We start from the raw sequence: 19,688 nt of genomic DNA on the forward strand, positions 1-19,688 counted from the left end.
GCGATCTCAGCTCACTGCAACCTCCAACTCCCTAGTTCAAGTGATTCTCCTGCCTCAGCCTCCTGAGTAGCTGAGATTACAGGCACGTGCCACCACGCCCAGTTAATTTTTGTACTTTTAATAGAGATGGGGCTTCACCATGTTGGCCAGGATGGTCTCGATCTCCTGACCTTGTGATCCGCCCGCCTCAGCCTCCCAAAGTGCTGGGATGACAGGCATGAGCCACCATCCCTGGCCAAATATTGATAATTTTTAATGCAGCAATTGATAAGACAGAATCCAAGAGGGAGATGTGAGATATAAGGAGTGGTGGGTAAAGAAGCCAGTAAAACTTTTTGATGTCCAAGAAGGTGTGGATTAAAAATAAACAAAACAAAACTCTGCAATGGGAATCTCTGATTATTTCAACATGGGAGGTGGGAAGAGGAGAATAAATGAAAGAGGGAAGAAAGAGAGTAAAAGATTTCTTGTTTTATTTGAAGGTACGATATAGATTCTTATTAAAATCTAGAGGTTGATATATAAATACATTGTAAATATTTATTTATTTATTTATTTATTTATTGAGACCGAATCTTGCTCTGTCACCCAGGCTGGAGTGCAATGGTGCAATCTTGGCTCACTGCAACCTCTGCCTCCCAGGTTCAAGCGATTCTCCTGCCTTAGCCTCCCAAATTGCTGGGACTACAGGCGTAAACCACCACGCCCAGCTAATTTTTGGGTATTCAGTAGAGACGGGGTTTCACCGTGTTGGCCAGGCTGGTCTCAAATTTGTGACCTCAAGTGATCCGCCTGCCTCAGCCTCCCAAAGTGCTGAGATTACAGGCGTGAGCCACCGCACCCAGCCAATTGTAAATATTTACATAAAAATTTCAGGGTAGAGAACTTCCTGAAAAAACAATTAAATTATGGTAAAGTATTGTTTAAGAGACATATACCCATAAAGAAGTGGAGAATGGTGGAGAGGACAATAGTAAGACAATAAATAGATGGACGGCTGGTAAATGATGCAGCATACCCAGGAAGACTGAGTCCTAGAGCAGGAGTTGGAGGCAGATATACTGCAAAGAAAGGATACCATAGAAAAGGAACATTCAGGAATTTTCTGAAGATGAGTTTTTGGAAATTAAAAACATGACGGTAGAAATGAAAAGTTGGAATTGAAGTGGAGGAAATCTCCCAGAAAATAGAGCAAAGAGACAGAGACAAAGAGATGGAAAATAGAAGAGAAAATAGAAAATAAAATCAAGCCTGGCATGGTAGCTCACACCTGTAATCCCAGCACTTCAGGAGGCCAAGGCGGGCAAATCACCTGAGGTCAGGAGTTCAAGACCAGCATGGCCAACATGGTGAAACTCCGTCTCTACTAAAAATACAAAAACTAGCTGGGTGTGGTGGCACATGCCTGTAATCCCAGTTACTCAAGAGGCTGAGGCAGGAGAATCACTTGAACCTGGGAGGTAGAGGTTGCAGTGGGCTGAGATCACCACTGAGATCACACCACTGCACTCCAGCCTGGGCGGCAGAGTGAGACGCCATCTCAAAAAAAAAACAAAAAAAATTAGCCAGGCATAACGGCACACACCTGTAGTCCCAGCTACTTGGAAGGCTGAGGCAGGAGAATCATTTGAACCTGGGAGGCAGAGGCTGCAGTGGGCCGAGATCGTGTCATTGCACTCCAGCCTGGGCAACAGAGCAAGACTTTGCCAAAAAAAAAAAAAAAAAAAAAAAAAATCAATACAGGAGGTCCACTGGTCAAATAATAAGCAGTTAAGAAAGAAGAAACAGAGAAAGTGGAGGTGGGGAAGTTTATTTTCAAAGCAATTTAATTTGATAAAAATTTCCAGAATTTTTACCATGATGCGCAGCACTGCTATGAAGTCTGTGTAGTTAAGAACACATTATCATTGTTCAGCTCATGCTTTATCTCTTTCGTTTTGTTTACTTTGATTTGCTTATGTGTGCATTTATGCATGCATTTATTTATATAATGAACCCTCATTTGAATCCACAGCCCAACTAGCCAATAATATCCATGGGCTTCTTGCCTTTCCCATCTCCCAGCCTCCCCCAACTAAAGATAACCACCATCCTAAATTTGGTGTTTCTTCTTCTTCTTCTTTTTTTTTTTTTTTTTTTTTTTAAGTATTTCATTTTATGAGTCAGGGTCTCACTCTGTCACACACACTGGAATTCAGTGGTGTGATCATAGCTCACTGCAGCCTCCACCTCCTGGGCTTAAGCAATCCTTCCACCTCAGCCTCCAGAGTAGCTGGGACTACAGGTGTGCACCACCACGCACAGCTAATTTAAAAAAATTTTTTTTGGTAGGAAGGAATCTTGCTATATTGCCCAGACTGATCTTGAAATCATGGCCTTAAGTGAGACACAGCATCAGGCCCTTTTGGTTTTTAAAAACAGCTTCATCACATTTATAGGGGCCTGAACAATGAATTGTTTCCTTTCACTTGGTTTAGAATGTTATAAAAAGGGTATCACTCTGTGTGGTCACCTGAGACATGCTTTTTCCACTCATTATGATACCATCCAGATTCATACTTGCTGTTCCCTGGTTCTTTAATTCATTCACTTTCAAAGCTGTATAATATTCCATTGTGCAAATGTACCAAAATGTATTCATTCATTCTCCTACCAGTTTGGGAGAATTGGGAAGGTGCATGTGTGTGTGCGTATGTGTGTGAATGTGTACTGATAGTGAAAGAGTTCAGTCTTCATCCTCTATGGTTGAAAATCAACAGATGATAACTAAAATTGAAAATGATCAAGAAGTAGCAATATATGTGTAATATTTAGAGATAAAGGAGTAAATATGAGAAGAATCATCAAAAGGAATAAGAGGCCTATGCCGGGTGCAGTGGCTCACGCCTGTAATCCCAGCACTTTGGGAGGCCGAGGCGGGCGGATTCCCTGAGCTCAGGAGTTTGAGACCAGCCTGGGCAACATGGTGAAACCCCGTCTCTACTAAAATACAAAAGATTAGCCAGGCGTAGCAGCGCATGCCTGTAATCCCAGCCACTTGGGAGGCTGAGGCAGGAGAATTGCTGGAACCCAGAGGTGGAGGTTGCATTGAGCCGAGATGGCGCCACTGCACTCCAGCCTCGGCGACAAGAGCAAGACTCTGTCTCAAAAAAAAAAAAAGAGGCCGCGCACGGTGGCTTACGCCTATAATCTTAGCCCTTTGGGAGGCCGAGACGGATGGATCACTGAAGGTCAGGAGGTCAAGACCAGCCTGGCCAACATGGCGAAACCCCATCTCTACTAAAAATACAAAAATTAGCCGGGCGTGGTGGCGAGTGCCTGTAATCCCGACTACTCAAGAGGCTGAGGCAGGATAATTGCTTGAACCTGGGAGGCAGACGTTGCAGTGCACTGAGATCGTGCCACTGCGCTCCAACCTGGGTGACAGAGTGAGACTCCGTCTCAAAATAAAAAAAAAAAAAAAGAAAAAAAGGAATAAGAGTGATTTCCTCTGGGGAGAAGGAGATGGTAGAGGGAGGATGGAGATTTCTGTTTCTCATAACAAGACTAATTCGATGATTTGGCTGTTCCACTAAGCTCATGCATAACATTGAAAAATTAAGGATAACTAGCAGAATAACAAAAATAGCATACATAACTTGCAAACCACAACTGCAAAAAAAAAATGGGACAAAGAAAATGTGATAAATTCAGCAGATGATACGAAAAGAAACAAGAAAAATAATCCTTAAAAACAATTATTTTTGGCGGGGCGCGGCTGCACATGCCTGTAATCCCAGCACTTTGTGAGGCTGATGGGGGAGGATCACTTGAGGTCAGGACTTTGAGACCAGCCTGGCCAACATGGTGAAACCCTGCCTCTACTAAAAAACAAAAATTAGCTGGGCGTGGTGGCACGCGCCTATAGTCCCAGCTACTCAGGAGGCTGAGACAGAAGAATTGCTCAGAACCGGGAGGCGGAGGTTGCAGTGAGCCGAGATTGTGTTACTGCACTCCAGCCTGGTGACAGAGCGAGACTCCATCTCAAAAAATAAAATAATAATAAATTAGCTGGGCGTGGTGGCCCATGCCTGTAATCCTAGATACTCTGGAGGCTGAGGCAGGAGGTTTACCTGAGCCTTGGGAGGTTGAGGGCCTAGGCAACAGAGACCCTCTCTCAAAAAAAAGCAAAAACAAAAACAAACAATAACAAAACTGATTGCATTTAAAAAAATAAGAAAAATCCCACCAAGTATATACATGAAAAACGGAAATTTGAGAAATAGCAGATAAAACTGTCATTATAGTGGGAGAACCTTAGAAATCATCAGATCAAGAAGACAAAAAATGAACATTCTGTTGGAAGTTTTTCTCAAGTTCAAGACAACTGTTTCTCCTAACAAACTTCCTGCTTTGGGGGAGGCGTCTTTCTACTTTAACAATTTCCCACTGCCTGTGGCCAAAGGTTGTCACTCAGCAACGCAACAAGTCTTGCAGGGCTACGTAAACTGCTGGATTCAATATTCAAATGCAAACTTTGGGATGTTATAGTTCTAAGGGAAGAAAAGTGTTTTGTCCTTTACCCTCCTAGATTCTCTGGCTGGGACGCTGCAAACTAGACTGACAGAAGACAGATTGACAAGAGAAAAACAAACAAGTTTATTAACTTGTGCACATGATGTGAAAGAAACCTTGGTGATGAGTAACTCACATTGGTGGTTACGACTTGGGCTTATACAGCACCTTAGCAAAAAAAACAATGAATTTCTAGAGAAGTCACATGACAAAGGAGATAGGTTTTAGGCTTCCCTGGGCAGCAAACTGTGGGAAGGTAAATATATGGGGGAAACTAATGGAATAAGGTTTGTGTGTGCAAGTCCATCTCAGCGCCAATTTCCCCTCTTTCTCATGGCCATAAAACTTCCCTGGGAGAGGGAATTTATGGCAGTCTTCTTTTCTCAGAAGTTTCTGCTTTTAGTCAGATAAGGAAAGCTCCAGGAAGGCTTCTTTCTGCATCTGTTGATTCTCATTTACCTCCGGCTCAAAATAATCCTTATGCCAAAGTGGCACATTTTGTGGTGGCATATTTTGCAAGTGTCTCCTACTGACACACAGCACTTCCTGCTCTCTATCCAAACCTGTTCTCTAACCTAAGGCTCCTGAGCACTAGCAATGTTGGTACAATAAAAACCGCCCTTTATCTTCCCCTTTCCAGTAACTTGTGAATAATGCATGAAGCTTGTGGGCAGAGACACATAGACAGCTGATTTATGCTCTTAGATATATAAACACGAAAGGTGAATGCCAGCTGTCAGGAAAAACTTATTCAGAACTTCCAACCCAAAATAAATGAGGATTTGAATAGTACAATAAGAATCAGCTAAATCTATTTTTTTTGTTGTTGTTCATTCAATAAGTATTCACTGAACACCTACTATAGGCCATGCATTGTGCTAGGTGCTGCGGATAGAGCAGTGAAAAAAAGCAACCATTGTACTGGATATTCTAGCTAATTCATTAATATTTTTTAAGTATAAATACTAGAAAAGATGAGATAAAGCTGTCATTATTTGTATCACTCCAAGAGAAACAACTTTAAAATTTTGTAGGTTGGGCCTGGTGGCTCACCCCTATAATTCCAGCACTTTGGGAGGCCAAGGCAGGTGGATCACTAGAGCCCAGGAGTTCAAGACCAGCCTGGGCGACATGGCGAAACCCCGTCTCTACAAAAACTACCAAAAGTATCCGGGCGTGGTGGCACACACCTGTGGTCTCAGCTACTTGCAAGGCTGAGGTGGGAGGATCACTTGAGTCCGAGAGGTAGAAGCTGCAGTGAGCCATGGTCACGCCACTATACTCCAGCCTGGGTGACAAAGTGAGATTTTGTCTCAAACAAAAGAAAAGAAAACAAAACAAAACCCTGTAATAAGTAAAACTAGTAATGCAGCTAGATACAGGATCGTATGTAGGTTAAGTATCCCTTATTTGAAATGCCTGGGTTCCATAAGTGTTTTGGATTTTGGTGGGGTTTTTTTGGATCCTGGAATATTGGAATTGAGGATGGGACCCAAGGCCAAACATGAAAGTCATTTATGTTTCATATACACTTTATACACGTGGCTTAAAGATCATTTTATAGAATATTTTTATTAATTTTGTGCATGAAACAAAGTTTATATATTGAACCATAAAAAGCAAAGGTGTCACTCTCTCAGCCACCCATCTGGACAATCTGTGGTTGTTTGGCATCACTGCCATTCTTGACTCTGAATTTTTATGTTACCGATAAGCAGTCTTTTCTTATTCACACAAAAGTACTTAACAGTAAAAAAATATATATATGACACACTATTAATACAATGAAAAAAAATAACATGTTCCCGGTAACTAGGCAGCATCGTAGCATCACCAGAATCTGTATCAGCTGTGAAACAACAGCAACTAACGACAGCATTCAGTCTCCACCTACGATGCTGTGTTTTGATTAAAAGGTTATTGTACTTCGCATTTTATTTTTTAGATGAGAAGAAACATCAGAAGCAGTTAAGGGACCAGGAAGTGGGTCCTCTGGGGATAAGGAGGCACTCTGTTGGATGGCTTTTTTTGAATGTTTTCTCTGGAGTCATCTGCCTCATTAACAACGGTTCTTTGTCTTAGAACTCTCTCTTTGATTTTACAAACTCACACGATTTTTTGTTCGGTTATGAATGTACACTGCTCTAGTCGTCCAATAAGCCCATCACATATTTTCACCATGTTGTCTATAGTCATTTTTTTTTTTTTGAGATGGAGTTTTGCTCTTGTTGCCCAGGCTGGAATGGAATGGCACGATTTCACCTCACTGCAACCTCCACCTCCCAGCTTCAAGCGATTTTCCTGCCTCAGCCTACCCAATAGCTGGGATTACAGGCACCCGCCACCATGCCTGGCTAATTTTTTGTGTTTTTAGAAGAGACAGGAGTTCACCATGTTGGCCAGGCTGGTCTCGAACTCCTGACCTCAGGTGATCCACCCCTCTTGGCCTCCCAAAGTGCTGGGATTACAGGCGTGAGCCACCATGCCTAGCCAGCATCATCTTTCTCATCACTACCATCACAATCACCTTGATTCAGAACCACTTCAGCTATTTCACCATTGGTCAATGAATGAACAACGGGAGGTTCATTAGCAGTGTTAAAAATTTCCTTGATATCCACTCCTTGTAGGTTACTGACAGACTCTGAAGATATATTTTTGGCGTATGTAAGAAGGTCAAACATTATTTTTGTTCTCACTTGACATAAAAAAAAATCCTTCAAAGTCACCACTTTGTTCATCATGATCACTGAACGTAGTCCCAGGCCAGAGGTTTTGCCAGGCATGCACAGCTGTGTCTTTGGTCACTGTTTCAAGCGCTGGCAATAGCATATATGGCATCCTTCCTGCTAAACGCCTTTTGAAAACTTTCCTTCCCCATGCCTCTGTTCACTGCTGCTAGCATATTGTTCAAGAAAGTGTTTTCATAATTACTCTTCATTGATCTAAGGATATCCTGGTCACGTGGCTGAATTGATGAAATCACATTTGGGGGAAAGTACATGGCATAAACACTATTTGTGTGTGTGTGTGAGTGTGTCTTTTTAGTAGAGATGGGTTTCACCATGTTGGCCAGGCTGGTCTCGGACTCCTGACCTCAGGTGATCCACCCACTTCGGCCTCTCAAAGTGCTGGGATTACAAAAAAATACAAAAAATATTTTTTTCGTGTGAGCCACCACGGCCGGCTGATAAATACTATTTTTGATGAGAACTTCAGCGGGAGGATGAGCAGAACAGCTGTCAGGTATCTGGGATTACAGGCACCCGCCAGCACACCCAGCTAATTTTTTATTTTTAGTAGAGACGGGGTTTCACTATGTTGGCCAGGATGGTCTCAAACTCCTGACCTCAGGTGATCCATCTGCCTCGGCCTCCCAAAGTGCTGGGATTACAGGTGTGAGCCACTGTGCCTGGCCTATCCTCTTTTTCTTCTTACTGTTACCCACAGGGAGATCTGCAAGTCTTTTTGATACTTCTTTTTTTTTTTTTTTTTTTTTGAGATGGAGTCTCACTCTGTCGCCCAGGCTGGAGTGCAGTGGCGCGATTTCGGCTCACTGCAACCTCCATCCCCTAGGTTCAAGCAATTCTCCCTAGTAGCTGGGATTACAGGCACCTGCCACCACGCCCAGCTAATTTTTTTTTTTTTGAGACGGAGTCTCGCTCTGTTGCCCAGGCTGGAGTGCAGTGGCGCGATCTCGGCTCACTGCAAGCTCCGCCTCCCAGGTTCATGCCATTCTCCTCCCTCAGCCTCCCGAGTAGCTGGGACTACAAGCGCCCGCCACTACGCCCAGCTAATTTTTTTGTATTTTTAGTAGAGATGGGGTTTCACCATGTTAGCCAGGATGGTCTCGATCTCCTGACCTCGTGATCCGCCTGTCTCGGCCTCCCAAAGTGCTGGGATTACAGGCGTGAGCCGCCGCTCCCAGCCTAATTTTTGTATTTTTAATAGGGACAGGGTTTCACCATCTTGGCTAGGCTGGTCTTGAACTCCTGACCTTGTGATCTGCCCGCCTCAGCCTCCCAAAGTGCTGGGATTACAGGCGTGAGCCACCGCGCCCAGCCGGTTTGTTCCTCTTTTACTTTGTCTAGTGTATTCTTAGCCTTCAAGGCCCATGCCAACTGTTGCTCCATTAATTCATTTTAACATATTTATGAGCGCTTCACTGTCCCTTCTCCTAGGTGCTGGAAATACAGCAAGGAATTAGACCAGTTCCCTGCTCTCTGGTATGGGGCGACCATACTGCCACCACACCTAGCTAATTTTTGTATTTTTAGTAGAGATGGGTTTCACTGCATTTGTCAGGCTGGTCTCGAACTTCTGACCTCAGATGATCCACCTGCCTTGGCCTCCCAAAGTGCTGGGATTACAGGCATAAGCCACCGTGCCCAGGCCACTATTCATTTTTAACACGACTCGAGCATCCCTAATCTGAAAATAGGAAATCTAAAATGCTCCAAAATTTGAAACTTTTTAAGGACCAACATGACACTACAAGTGGAAAATTCCACACCTGCCCTCCTGTGTGTCACAATCAAAAACGCAGGCACACAACATAGTGTTTATTCAGTGTCCCCATGGAAAAAAATGTCCTCCCAGCCCCCTTCAGCTGTGATATATCTTTTCCCTACATGTCCAGATTCCCCCACCCAAGCACAGCCACAAAGGACATAAATGGCAAGTGCACAGGCCAGATGCATTAACAGCAGTTTCCCTGCAATGCCTGACATGGGGCCAGGACCTATGCACATTGCTCATTGTGTTTTTTTGCTTCTTCTCTGCTCTGTGGTATAAATATTTTGTTGAAATATCAAAAAGAGTCTGGGCACGGTGGCTCACGCCTGTAATCCCAGCACTTTGGGAGGCCAAGGCCAGAGAACTGCCTGAGCCCAGGAGTTCAAGACCAGCCTGGGCAACATGGCAAGACCCCCGTCTCTATTAAAAGAAAAAACGAATAGTTTTCTGTATACCACCAGCAGCCCCAATAAAATGTAGTAGAAAGAAAAGATACCACTGGGTGAGGTGGCTCACGCCTGTAATCCCAGCACTTTGGGAGGCCGAGGCGGGACGATCACTTGAGGTCAGGAGTTTGAGACCAGCCTGGCTAACATGGTGAAACCCCCGTCTCTACTAAAAATACCAAAATTAGGCCAGGCGCAGTGGCTCATGCCTGTAATCCCAACACTTTGGGAGGCTGAGGCAGGCGGATCACCTGACGTCAGGAGTTCAAGACCAGCCTGACCAATATGGTGAAACCCTGTCTCTACTAAAAATACAAAAATTAGCCGGCCTGTGGTGGCGCACGCCTATACTACCAGCTACTCAGGAAGCTTAGGCAGGAGAATCACTTGAACCCAGGAGGCAGAGGTTGCAGTGAGCCGAGATCGTGCCATTGCACTCCAGCCCGGGCCACAGAGGAAGACCTTGTCTCAAATAAATAAATAAAACAAAAATTAGCCAGGCATGGTGGCATATGCCTGCCATCCCAACTACTCAGGTGGCTGAGGCAGGAAAATCGCTTGAACCCAAGAAGTGGAGGTTGCAGTGAGCCAAGATCATGCCACTGCACTCTAGCCTGGGAGTCAGAGTGAGACTGCATCTCAAAAAAAAAAAAAAAAAAAAAAGAAAAGATACCAAAACTAATAAAGTGAGTTTGTCAGTATCATTGGATACAAGATCAACATACAAAAATTACTTACTAATTGGAAATAATGAATTGAAAACTATAGTGGAAGAAACTTAACACCCAATCATATCTAACATTATAACAGCCTTCCCCTTTCAGAAAAATTCAGTGCTGACACTTGGACCGGCAGAGCAGGGAGCTCGTGGAGGGGCAGCTTGGCTTGGGGCATCAGAGTCCGAGTGGGCCGAGAGTCCACAAGAGTGAGGCAGTGTATATGGAAAGTGAGAGCATGAGCAGGGTGAGGAGATGTACCCACTGGGGACAGCTTGGTGGGGGGCATTGGAGTCTAAACAGGGTGAGGGGACTGCCAAGTACAACCTGGCATGAGGTGAGGGGAGAGGAGAGTTTCGTGTGGGGAAGGTGATACTTCTGCTGGGAGACAGGAAGCCATCCACATGGGGGCGGGGAGGGAGGCGGCAGCAGTCAGAGGCTGGTTACATGTAAGGCAATTGATCAAATCATGTAATATGTCAAAGACAACAGAGTAGAGTTTCTCATTGTCAGAGAAGGCAGTTACAAATATGGAAAGGGGAAAGCTACAGTGTACATTGTGGGGTTGGATTGGAACTGGCGGTGTTATGTGAATCATGGTTTTCAATACAGACATAAAAATGAATATAGATATGCATATATAGATATACACTTTATTCCCTAGCTTTGCCCACTGAGAGGCCCTGGGAGAAGCAGGCCCTTAAAGCTATGTACATGTGTCATTTTCAGATATGGAAGGCAGGCAAAGAACCACTACCAGAGAGCTATAAGCCTAACTATCCCAAGGTTCATGAGAGTTCAGGGATGTTTGAGTTCTAGCCATCCAGAGTAGACAGATCTCTTTAAACACCCTGGCATTCTTTGAAAAGTCATTTAAAAACACACATTACCAAAGGGATTGAGAGGAAATAGGCAATCTGAATATTGGTGTATCTGTTAAAGAAATTGAATTTGTAATTTAAAAACAAAAAACAGGCCGGATGCAGTGGCTCACACCTGTAATCCCAGCACTTTGGGAGGCTGAGGTGGGAGGATCGCTTGAGCTCAAGAGTTCGAGACCAGCCTGGGCAACAAGGTGAAACCCAATCTCTACAAAAATTAGCCGGGCATCGTGGTGTGCCCCTGTAGTCCCAGCTACCCGGGAGGTTGAGGTGAAAGGATGCCTTGAGCCCAGGAGGCAGAGGTTATAGTGAGCAGAGTTTGTACCACTGCACTCCTGCCTAGGCAATAGAGCCAGACCTGGTCTCAAAAAAAAAAAAAAGAAAAAAGAAAAACCCAAAACCAAAAACAATTTATCAAACACACACACACACTCACACACACACACAAGCAAGCATGCACACACACACACATAGAGACTATTCTTAGAGGGAAGTTCATAGATGTGCAAATATTAGCATTAGAAAAGAAGAAATTTTTAAAATTAACTTTCCACCTTAAGTAACTAGAAAAAGAAGGGCAAATTCAACTCAAAGAAAGTAGAGGGGAGGAAAAAAGATAAGAGAGGAAATCAATAAAATAAGAAACAAACAAACATTAGAGAAAAATCAATGATGCCAAAAGCTGGTTCTCTGAAAAGATCAATAAAATTGATAAACCTCTAGATAGACTGATCAAGAAAAAAGAAAGACACAAATTACCGATACATGTTGATTTAAGTTTGTTTTACTCTTATGTTAAACATTCACATAATTCTAGAGTTAAATGTACAAAACAAGGTATACTCCAGGAAGTATACTTTCTACCCCATCCATTCCATCCTGTCTCCTTCGTCTCCTATAGGTAATCATTTTATTTATTATTTGTGGTTTCCAAATTCTTCCATTTTTTAGCATAAGAAAAAAATGTATAGTGAATATATTTGCAGTGTTGTTTTAAGGAAAATTGTGTCCTCAGGGTTCTCACAGACTGGTTGAAGATTCTTGTGAATATAGTGATTATATTCAAATATAATCAATATATTCAAACAAAACGTTTTAGTGTGCTCAAAACCACATGCAAGAGTATGCTCAATAGATCAATTAAACTGGTTATATTTAATAAATATCTGCAGAGAATATCTAAGGGGTTCTGACCCTGCCGAAGGAGGATTCCATCTTTTTGCTGACTGAACTAAAAAGCATCTGACCATCCAAATTAGGCTCTTGTGAAAGATGTGTTCTGTTTATTTATCAAAATCCTACTTTGTATTCCAAAGGTCCTGCTGATGCAGATCCCCTTTATAATGTGGCCAGTGAAGTTTGTGGCCCTGATACCATCAAAGGACAAATGCATCCCGACTGGGGGATGGAAATCTTTCAAAAGTCTTTTGTTGACAGCATCTAATTGTGTTATCCTTTTGCTTTCATAAAGTCCTTTTATAAAGCCTTAACTAAAACTCTTGATTAAAACTATAGTTACTTGTTTGTTTTATCCTGAAATAAAACATAATATCATCCCTGATAATACAACCGGTGAGTTCATAATGAAATGTAATATTATAGCTGTCCTGGGTAGCCTTCTAATGCATATCTCTACTTGGTGCTAGGTGTTTGTAATAATTCCTGATTCTACTGCGGAAACACTTGTGTAGCTTGATCCAAGTGCTTGAATTTATTTTCATTTTGAAGGTGATAGAGTTCCAATAACCTACAATTTATACTTGGAAGAGGTTTTTGGCTACTAGTCCTTACTTGGCAGACAAGTTTAGTTGCAAACGTGAAAAAAAATCTCCTTTATCTATCTCCTTTATGACATGGTGGAAAACATGGGCTATACTGTACAAGAATCATGGATGAGTTTGGATCACCCCGTCTCTGGTTCAATGCTGGTTAAATGTGCAAGATTCAAACATAAGAATTCTTGTTAGGCTGTGTATTAGTCTGTTTTCACACTGCCGATAAAGACATACCTGGGATTGGGCCATTTATAAAAGAAAGGTTCAACGGACTTGCAATTCCATGTGGCTGGGGAAGTCTCACAGTTATGGCAGAAGGCAAGGAAGAGCAAGTCACATCTTACATGGATGGCAGCAGGCAAAGAGAGAGTTTGTGCAGGGAAACTCCCATTTTTAAAACCATCAGATCTCATGAGACCTACTCACTATCACGAGAACGACACGGGAAAGACCTGCCCCCGTGATTCAATCACCTCCCACCAGATTCCTCCCACAATACATAGGAATTGTGGGAGTTCCAATTCAAGATGTGATGTGGGTGGGGACACAGCCAAACCATATCAGCCTGGGTGCAGTGGCTCATGCCTGTAATCCCAGCTACTCGGGAGGCAGAGGCAGCAGAATCGCTTGAACCCGGGAGGCGGAGGTTGTAGTGAGCTGAGATTGCGCCACTGCACTGGGACTACAGGCGTGTGCCACCACTTCCGGTTAATTTTATTATTTTTAGTAGAGACAGGGTTTCACCATGTTGGCCAGGATAGTCTCGATCTCTTGACCTTGTGATCCACCTGCCTCGGCCTCCCAAAGTGCTGGGATTACAGGTGGGAGCCACCGCGCCCAGACCAGAACAGACTATTTTTCAATAAACTCACTGCACATGTGTGAATGCTGGGTTGCAAGAACGGTATTGAGGCTACCAAGTAGAAATCCACACAGCCACCTTGGATTTTGTTTATTAGGCATCAGGCTAACAAGTCATTAGGTCATTTGGGAAGGGGAAAAAAAAGTTTAAAATTGGGGGGGGGGCATCTTTTTAAACAAGAAGTATTTTGCCTATGCATGAAAAATAAGATAAAACCACAATGAGACATCATCAGAATGGCTAAAATTAAAATTCTTGACAATATCAAGAATTAACAACCAGAATTCTCTTACACAGGTGGTAGAAGGATGCAATCATTTTAGAAAACTATTTTTGGTATCTATGAAAACTGAACATAGGCAAACCTTATAACCTGGCTATTCCACTCCCAGGTACACAACCAATAGAAGGATTTACATATATACACCAAGAGATATAGACAAAGCCAGGTGTGGTGGCTCACACCTGTAATCCTAGCACTTTGGGAGGCCAAGGTGGGAGAATTGCTTAAGCCCAGGAGTTCAAGACCAGCCTGGGCAACATGGTGAGACCCCCCATCTCTACAAAAAATATATATAAATTAGCCAGGTGTGGTGGCACACACCTGTAGTCCTAGCTACTTGAGAGGCTGAGGTGGGAGGATCACTTGAGCCTGGGAGGTCGAGGCTGCAGTGAGCCACAAGCATGCTACTGCACTCCAGCCTCGATGACAGAGTGAGACCCTGTCTCAAAAAAAAAAAAAAAGAAAAGAAAAGAAAAAGAGAGAGAGAGAGCACAGAGCACAGAGGATGGGCTTCCAGGATGCTGACAATGTTGTACTTCTCGACTTGAGTAGTGGTTACATGGGTGTTCGCTTTGTGATAAATCATTGAGCTAAATGTGTTTATTTCGTGTACTTTTCTGTATGCATGTTATATCTTACAATTAAGAAGTTTTAAAAAGAAGACTATTTACTGGCAAGGAAGCATATTCCTGAAGTATTATGAAATGAAAAAAGTTTACAAAACCATTTATATGGTGTGATCTCAATTTTACTCTATGAATGTACATATTTATACACATTTATATAAATTAAATGATCTGGAGTGATAAACATCCAGGTAAAATGGTAGTAATCCCTGGGTGCAAGCACAAGTGTTTTTGTTTGTTTGTTTTTTAGTGTCTATATATTTCTGATCTTTCTGTAATAAGCCTTTATTGCTTTTCTAATAAGAAATAAAGTCATTTTGTAGTATCGACCCAGGAATAAGCCAACAGATCGATAGAACAGAATAGAAAACTGAGAAAGAGATTCAGTAGATGTAAGAATTTGATGTGTGATAAAGGGGGGATTTTGAATCAATGGAGAAAAGATGGGTAGTTCGATACATTTTGTTAGTTCAATTGGCTAACCATTTGGAAGAGAAAGTTGAGCTCCATCTCATACCAGATGCTAAGAAAAGCCCCTACATTCCTTAAAAGCAAACAAAAAACTTGTATGTATTTTAAGTAAAAACATGAAAGTTTTAAAAGAAAATATAAGCAAATAGTTCCATAATCTTGGAGTGGAGAAGGCCTTTCTAAGCCTAGTAACAAAGTTGGCAGGCACAAAGTAACAGATTTGACAATATAAAAATATAAATATATGTGCATGCAAAAAGTTTACAATAATAACTGTTGTGAAATACCTAGGATAAATTTAACAAAAACCGTGGCCTGCCTATATGACAAAAACGATACAACTTTACTGAAGGACATAAAAGAAGATAAATAGAGAGAGCTTTGTCGAGGGTAGGAGGGCTGATTCCCAGCAGCTTTGCTAATATTTTTTAAAGGGCAGGGAAGGGAACTTAAATATTCATGAGTAAGTTAACCCTTCCGACTGAGCGACGTGCAGTAATTTGAAGGAACGCATTACTGGTGCACACTCTTCTACCTGTCCGGAGGGCCTCTCTGCCCCTTCCTCCCACATGCTCTAAGCTTGGAGGAGGAGTTGCTAAGTGTTAATTGGGTCCTGTTTGGCAGCGGATGGGGTCACTGTGTTGAACATACCTCATGCCCGATGCTCCCTAGGCTGCCCCGCCCTGTTCGCCCTGTTTGCCCTGTTGGCCCTGTTGTTCCAGCAGCTCCCAGGCTGCCTTGGGGCAAGCCTGGCCTTGCCTCACCTGCCTTCACACTGGGAACTGCTGATCAGCTGCAAGTTCCCTTACCATGGGGCTGGCCAGATTCCCAGGCTTAGCCCAGGCTCGGTGCTCCAATCCAGCTTCTATCCTATCCCGGTGTCCGGAGGGGAGGCCGTGTTAGACATGGCCAGGCCTGCAAGCTCAGACTGCCCACGGCCTCCTGACCCAGAAGAAAAATGAAAATGCATATACTCATTGTCGCAGCGCGACTGCAACAGGCAATACCCAGTCATCACTTTATAGTAAAAGACACTACAAGCCCGGCGTGGTGGCTCACACCTGTAAACTCAGCACTATGGGAGGCCAAGGTGGGAGGACAGCTTGAGGCCAGGAGTTCAAGACCAGCCTGGGCAACATAGCAAGACCCCATTTCTACAAAAAAATACAATAATTAACCAGCCATGGTGGCACATTCCTGTAGTCCCAGCTGCTTGGGAGGTTGAGGTGGGACGATCGCTTGAGCTCCCGTGGTCGAGGCTGTAGTGAGCTGTGATTGCACCTTTGCCCTTCAGCTTAGGCGACAGAGCAAGACCCTGTCTCAAACAACCACAATAACAACAAAAACGCAAAGAACAGATTTTAAACTGCCTAGGTTCAAATCCAGGTTCCATGTTTGCTAGTTAGCTGTGTGATCTTTTTTCTTTTCAACTTTTTTTAATTTTTAATTTTTGAGACAGGACCTCCTTTATGTTGTCCGGGAAGGAGCACGGTAGCTATGCATAGATGCAGTCATAGCACACTACAACCTCAATCTCCTGGCCTCAAGTGATCCTCCCAGCTCAGCCTCTTGAGTAGCTGGGACTACAGAACACAGCTCTGACAAGTCATGTAACTACTCTGTGTTTCCATTTTCTCCTCTGTTAGATACTATTATACTAAAACACTATTATGAAAGTATCTGCCTTCCAGAGCTCTTATGAGTATGTCCTAAAGCATACTTAGAACTGTGCCTGGCACATAACTATGTAAGTTAGTTGTTATCAAAGAGTCTCAGAAAACCCCTTCCCAGGCAGAGTTCCACCCCATGGACTGGCAGGCTGCCCTAGCACTTCTACCGAGAACCAGGAAACTGGAGAAACTGCCTGTGTGTGTGTGTGTGTGTGTGTGTGTGTGTGTGTGACAAGGTCTTGCTCTGTGGCCCAGGCTGCAGGCTGGCATGCAGTAGTGTGGTGCAATCTAGGCTCACTGCAACCTCCGCTGCGCCCCAGACTCAGGTGAGCCTCCTGCCTCAGCCTCCTGAGTAACTGCGACAATAGGCCCTCCACCACCACACCTGGCAAATTTTTCTATTTTTAGTAGAGAAGGGATTTCTCCATGTTGCCCAGACTGGTCTCAAACTCCATCTGCCTGCCTCAGCCTCCCAAAGTGCTGGGATTACAGGCGTGAGCCACCGCATCCGGCCTGAAGAAACCACTTTCTAACACGCCAGTCTCCCGGCCTCCTGTGCACTAAGTGCAGTCAAATGGAACCAAAATGAGATGGAAGTGTCAGGAGGGGGCACATTTTGTGCTGGTTCTCAAATCCAGGCCTCTCTGGTGTGAGGCATTTGCTCAGCTAATAATGAAATGAATTGTGCTTTGATCCTCATCTGACTGCTGATCCACGTACATGGGCTCCTGTGGGAACCTTTCTGGAGATTGGCAAGGGCAGCCTTCCAAGGTTGCCTGGCTCAGGGCAAAAGCCTCAACACAGCAGTGGTCCCTTCAAAACCCCACCTCCACCCCACACAGGGCCAACATGAAAAGAGGCTCATCATATAATAAGAAAAAGAAAAAAACAAGAACAACAACAAAAAACCAGAAAGATGCTCCTCATGTGTTGTTACATGAAAAAGCAAAAGGTAGAACAATGTGTCTAATATAATTAGTGTTTAAAACATACATGAAAATGCATTTTTGGTCTAGAAGGATGTGTGCTACATACAGTCAGCCATCCCTCAGAATCCTCGGGGAATTGATTCAGGACCTCCATGGATACCAAAATCCTCATCCTCAGATATTCAAGTCCCTTATTTGCATATAACCTATGCACAACCTACCGTATACTTTGAATCATCTCTAGATTACTTATATCTCATACAATGTAAATGCTATGTAAATAGTTGTTTTACTGTATTTTTACATTTTAAAAATTATATTATTTTTCTTTTTTTCTGAAGTACATATGTATTGTTACAGTTATATATAATATATATATATAACTATATATATGTTTATATAGGTTTTTTTTTTTGAGACAGGGTCTCATTCTATCACCCAGGCTGGAGTGCAGTGGCACAGTCACAGTTCACCGCAGCCTCAACCTCCCAGACTCAAGTGATCCTCCCACCTCAGCCTCCCAAGTAGATGGGACTACAGGCACACATACCACGCCCGGCTAATTTTTTGTATTTTTTGTGAAGATGGGTTCCCATTACACTGCCCAGGTTGGTCTCAAACTCCTGGTGTCAAGCGATCCGCCGCTTTTGCCTTGAAAAGTGCTCTTATCTGAATACTTTTGACCCACCGTTGGCTGAAGCCATGGATACAGAATCTGTGGATTTGGAAGATAGACTCTAGTTCATAGTGGTTAGTTACTTTGGGGCTGGTTTTCCCAGGGAAAAAAGTATTTCCTCCTTGCTGTACACCCATCAGTATTGTGTGAAGTTTCCATAGAAAGCACATGCAACTTTATTTTTAAAAATAAAGTTTTTGGCCAGGTGCGGTGGCTCACGCCTGTAATCCTCCCCTTGGGAGGCCGAGGGAGATCACGAAGTCAGAAGTTCAAGACCAGCCAAGGCCAACATGGTGAAACATGGTATTTTCAGTCTCTACTAAAAATACCAAAAATTAGCTGGGTGTGGTGGTGTATCCCTGTAATACCAGCTACTTGGGGAGGCTGAGACAGGAGAATCACGTGAGCCTGGGAGGCAGAGGTTGCAGTGAGCTGAGATAGTGCCATTGCACTCCAGCCCTGGAGACAGTGTGAGATTCTGTCTCAAAATAAATAAATAAACAAACAAACAAATAAATAAATAAAGTTTTTTTCCGGCCAGGTGCAGTGGCTTACGCCTGTAATCCCAGCACTTTGGGAGGCTGAGGCGGGCAGATCACTTGAGGTCAGGAGTTCGAGACCAGCCTGGCCAACATGGCGAAACCCTGTCTCTACTACAAATACAAAAATTAGCCAGGTGTGGTGGCACACACTTGTAGTCCCAGCTACATGGGTGGCTGGGGCACAAGATTCACTTGAATCTGGGAGGCAGAGGTTGATGTGAGCAGAGATTGCACCATTGCACTCCAGCCTGGGTGACAGAGCAAGACTCTATTTCAAAAACAAACAAACAAAACGTTTTTTTCTACAAACATCAAATCACAGAAAACTATTTACAACATATATTGCAGACAAGGTGTTAAAGTGATGTCTGTGTTTATGAGTAGAAAAAATAGTTGGCTGGGCACAGTGGCTCACGCCTGTAATCCCAGCTCTTTGGGAGGCTGAGGCAGGTGGATCATGAGGTCAGGAGGTCGAGACCATCCTGGCTAACACAGTGAAACCCCATCTCTACTAAAAATACAAAAAATTAGCCGGGCGTGGTGGCGGGCGCCTATAGTCCCAGCAACTGGGGAGGCTGAGGCAGGAGAATGGCATGAACCCGGGAGGCGGAGCTTGCAGTGAGCTGAGATCGTGCCACTACATTCCAGCCCGGGCGACAGAGAGAGACTCCGTCTCAAGAAAAAAAAAAAAAAAAGAGAGAAAAAGAAAAAAATATTCGAAGACAATGGAATAAAACAACAG

This window comes from Homo sapiens, chromosome 15 (genome assembly GCF_000001405.40).
Source record: "Homo sapiens chromosome 15, GRCh38.p14 Primary Assembly".
Classification (NCBI taxonomy): Eukaryota; Metazoa; Chordata; class Mammalia; order Primates; family Hominidae; genus Homo; species Homo sapiens.